At 38.1% G+C, this 5,001-nt stretch overlaps 1 annotated feature.

Moving 5' to 3' along the window:
- Positions 462-1,661: an enhancer, noted in NCBI's record as "CDK7 strongly-dependent group 2 enhancer chr14:98960824-98962023 (GRCh37/hg19 assembly coordinates)". NCBI's record gives its function as "activates an origin of replication core promoter dependent on BRD2, BRD4, P300/CBP, MED14 and CDK7 cofactors, with strong dependence on CDK7, by STARR-seq in HCT116 cells {active_cell/tissue: HCT116}" and the evidence as "EXISTENCE:reporter gene assay evidence [ECO:0000049][PMID:35650434]".

Raw genomic sequence — 5,001 nt, 5'->3', positions numbered from 1 at the left:
TGGGTCATTTGGGTTTATTTTTTATGTTGCTGAAGGCGATCCATGTGCAGTAAGGATTAACCAATTGGATTAATGAATTAATAGATGAATAAATGAATGAAAGCAGTCTAGAGAAGGGTGATATCATAAACAAAATTTTAAAGTTAGAAACCCTGGATTTAATTACTGTTGCTCTTGACTTTGGGCCTTAATAACTGAGAGCCTTTTGCCATCTCCGGCTTCTCTGAATGTGGTCTTCTAATTAAAAGATGATGTTAGTAATGTCTTGAATGCCTTCAAGTTTATTTTCTTCTTGCTGCTGCTGCTGCTGCTGCTTCTCCCTCTTCTCCCTCTTCTCCTTCTTCTCCTCCTCCTCCTTCCTCTTCCTCTTCCTCTTCTTCCTTCTTCTTCTTCTTATTCTTATTCTTTTTTCTTCTAAGACAGGGTCTTGCTCTGTCACCCAGGCTGGAATGCAGTGGCACAATCATAGCTCACTGCAGCCTCCAACTCTTGGGCTCATGTGACCTCCCACTTCCACCTCCCGAGTAGCTGGAACTACAGGTACACACTAGTATATCTGGCTAATTAAAAATTTTTTTTTCCTTGTAGATACAGGGGTCTTGCTGTGTTTCCCAAGCTGGTCTTGAACTCTTGGCCTCTAGCCATCCTCTGCCTTGGTCTCCCAAAATGCTAGGATTATAGGCCTGAGCCACTGCACCATGTCTTGAAGTTTTCATGACAACTTCGTGAAGATCTATTTGAGCAACATTTGCCAAACTTTAGTCATTCATCCAATGCCTTTGCAATCTTATCACTTAACATTTTTTTTCTAAATGAACTTTTCTTCATTTGATAAAGTACTTAAACAAATATATTTACAAAGAAGACATTCTGTCACTGTTATCTGTGAAGAACTCATATTCCATACTGTAAAGAAATTTCTTACTGTGGAAAAAAAGAGATATTTATTAATCTTTGTTCTAAATATTAGTCTGTGTACCACCTAAAATTATCTCACTCAGCATCAGTGTTGCCCATGCCCACCTTTGGAAAGCATCAATGTTGATAGTATATCTGGGAGCAAGAGTGTATGACTCTATAAGCATTTTGAATAACTATTATTGTTGTTATTGAAAGGATTAATCTAGGAGCTGTCAGAAACTATGGCTTAAACCTTAGCCAAGGCATTTTAATTATATATAATTATAGAGCTACAGTATCCTTACCTGAAAAGCAGAGTTGTTTCAGCAGTGTGGGCCACATTTTATAATTATTTGTGGTTTTCCGTCCCTTACCTCTATGTGGAAAAGAGAGTCAGTCGTGCGGATGTGTGTCATTTTCTGGCCCTCTGCTGCATCGTCATTATGCACTTTCTTCAACGGTGACTCATCAGATGATTGTGCTACCCTCATGAGGCAGGCATGGTCATGACTGGGATTCCCATTTTAAGAGTGAAGAAATCAAGGCTTCAAGGAAGTGACATGCAGTTCTCAGGGCCTTGCAGCTCACAAAGGGCTGAATTGGTTCTAGAAGGACACAGGAGCTTCTGACCAATACTGGTCATGGCTGCTTGTTTCTGTGCCACTGAATAGGCAAAAAGTGTGACCTAGAGCAGGTCAGTGAGAAATAATGGGACCTGAAACTCTGCTGAGAAGCTTGAATGTGTGAAATCCTAAAAAATTTCCTCTGTCTTTTTATTTGTTTGAGTAGAGCTCAGAGAAGACACAGTCCAGAAAGCCTACTTGTGACTTAACAGGCCATCTTTTGAACTTGGGAAATTTAATGAATGCTGTACAGAAATAGAATGTGTCAGGTCCTAAGATAGTTACTGGAGAAGCAGAAATAATTTAATTCCGTGTCTTCTTGAAAGTGTTCATAGTCTGGTGGGGAGATCCACTGATTAGAAAATGCACCCCAAAAAACTCCAAGAACAACAAACCAAACCAAACAAAAATGATATAAGGTCATGGCTAAAATGAAGCTATGTGCAAGGTATCCTGAAGAAGAGAGAAAGTAATAATTATTTGTATTAAAAGGTATGAATGCGATGCTGTTTGAATGTAGGTTAATGGAGTCCAAGCCCCCAAACTATTTTGTTTTGTCTTTAAAATAAGCCACTTATAAAGAAATCTATCTTTTTTTTCCTTTTATCTTATTAGTAATAGACTGGCCACCAATCAAAATCTCTTTCAGTAGATCTCTAAAACTTTCTTAGTTCTTATTTTAACATCTATCTCAGAATGCAACTTGCCCCCAGAGCATACAGGCTACAAACTTGAGGGGGCCCCTAGCATTTTACAGCAGATATTGGAAAAAGCTCAGCAATCAGAGCTACTGAGAAACATAATCTTAAACTTGGCAATGAGAAGCAGAAGAATTCATTTTTAGACTTTAAAAATAAAAATGTCCATCTTCAAGTCAACACATTCCCCTGTTTTGGCATCTTGAATCATCTTATTAAAAAAAAAAAAAAAAGAAATTTTCAGCTTACCTTTGCATCTATAAAACGGCTTTTTTTAAAATAAAAAAAATTCCAAATTCCACATTACTAAACCCTGCATGACTTGCATTAAGATACAAGATTATGACTTCTGCATGCACAGACTTACAGACTGGCCAGCCATGGGGGGTTGATCAGCCGTGACAGGGTCAGATACTGGGCAAGAGCAGGAAGAGGCCAATCTAAAGTGAAGCCAACTGCTTTGCATTATTGCACCAGCCCCTGCGAAAACAGAGGAGCTGGAAACCCACTGACTCCTGGTCAATGGCTGAGAATGGTTGCTAGTGGGACACCCATCTCTGCAAGTGGAAAAGGCCATTTTAAAAGTAGCTTCCGAAGCTTTGACCCAGTAGAACAACTTGGTATGCAAGCAAAATTAACACAGGCCTTATCTTTTTGTGCTGACTTTGGTTACATTTTCCAAACACTGGCTGTTCTGTTACAAAGCCATGAGTGATGAGCTCAGTGAGGTGTGTGGGAGCTCCCTAGACCCTCTGTGCCTCAGTTTCCTCATCTGTAAAGCAGGGATGGGAGTGGCACCTCTTTCGCAGAGCTGTGTGAGGATGATTTGGATAAAACATACATAACATGGTGCCTGGTGCTTTTTAAGTACTCAGAAAGTACAATATATTATTACGTGTGAATAATGATAACAATTACTGATTCCTGCTAATCCTCACCAAAAAACTGCGGAATAGGTTTGATTGTATCCATTTTTCAGATGACAATAACTGAGGTTCAAAAGCTAAGCTATTTTTTTCTAAGGCATTATCAGAGACATTTCAGAAGTTAAAACTGAAACAAGAGCTATTTGACTTCAAAGTCCAGTTTTACCAGCATCTCATGCTGTTTAACATAGGGACGATTTTTGAGCTTCTTAGGCTGTTTGCAGGATTTGGGATTGAAAGGTGGAAACTTGAGTCATCCAACCTTTTGTTTTAACTCTATAAAGCCCATATATCACATATTTTTCCTTCTTGGTTTGATGAGATATCACACGTAACGATGGCTATATGTGGAGGACACATCTTGCCAGTGCATCTGAGATTTACCTTCCTTGACGACAGAGTGAATAGCGGGTAACATCATCCCCATTTTACTCATGTCTTACTGTTCAGTGGTGGAGGCTGACATACATTTCTGGTCTGCCCTATTTGAAAAACTCAAGCTCTTTGAAACGACTGGCTTTTTAATAATTTGCCCTAAGTCTTGAAGCACAGGGTCCAGAAATTCTTTTATATTTCTCTGGAGAGCACAAGAGGACTCTGGAAAAAGCACTGGCAAAATATGAAGAAGTAGAAACTTTTATAAGCTCAACGCACCTCTTGGACAGTTAGAAATGTCATCTATGATGTAACCAGAGAAGCTGATTCCATCAGAAAGTGATATAGTGTCTTCATTTCCCATTTTCCCAATCTTTGGGTCTAATTATTGTTGACATTCCTCTCACACTGTGAACTCTTTGGGGACAGAGATAAGTTTATCTCTATTAAAATATGAATCAACCAAAGGCAAACTGATTTCAAAAAGCTCTTGAAAATAAAACATAATGAAATGCGTTTGGAAAACTAAAAACAGAAATTGTAAGAATAACTTTATAATCTTGGAAAGAGTTCTACTAACTACATATACTGTGTCAAGTTTTTAAGTATTGATTCCTGGGGATTAGTTGTGAGGTACTTTGGTGTCTAAGTATTCATTCCTTTGTTTAACATATTTACTGTAGAAAATTAGGAAAAGTGGAAAAGACAATGAGGCCCCAATAATTCCACCACTTAGAGAAATACACTTTTACCTTTTTCTTCTATGCTTTTGTTCCATGTTTTTAAAAAACGTATGAGATTACAATACATACATTTATTTGTACTGAAAATTTAATTATTCTGGGAAGAAGTCAGAAAAATATAGAAAATTTCCAAGATGACAACAACAACTGGCCATGTTCTATAAACACTGAGGCACATTTTCCAGCCTTTTCTCCTACCATAAATATGTGTCAGCTGGGCATGGCAACTCACACCTATAATCCCACCACATTGGGAGGCTAACGAGTGCAGGGATTATCTGAGCTCAGGAGTTCAAGACCAGCCTGGAAAACATAACAAGACTTTGTCTTTACAAATAATAATAATAAAAAAATTAGCTGGGCATAGTAGCGTGCATCTGTACTCCTACTTACTGAGGAGGCTGAGATGGGAAGACCACTTGAGCCCAGGAGTCCAAGCTGCAGTGAGCCAAGATCACAACACTGCACTCCAGCCTGGGCAACAGAGCCAGACTCTCTCTCAAAAGATAAATAAATAAATAAATAAATAAGTCAGGTAATATAGGAATGGATTCTCTTTAAAATGAATAGATAAAATAAATTAGAATGGCTGAAATAGTTTCACTTTCATCCTAAGACAATAATCTTCATGCATGTTTATTTCCATTTATCCTCCCCCACGGTCAGCTTCATATTTTAATTCCCCACATTACTCTTGCCAGTAGCTTTAGCTTTTATACATTTATAATTTTTATAT

The sequence above is a fragment of the Homo sapiens genome, chromosome 14 (genome assembly GCF_000001405.40).
Source record: "Homo sapiens chromosome 14, GRCh38.p14 Primary Assembly".
Classification (NCBI taxonomy): Eukaryota; Metazoa; Chordata; class Mammalia; order Primates; family Hominidae; genus Homo; species Homo sapiens.
The sequence above is the reverse complement of the archived record's forward strand: the minus strand, read 5'-3'. Positions and strand labels throughout refer to the sequence as shown.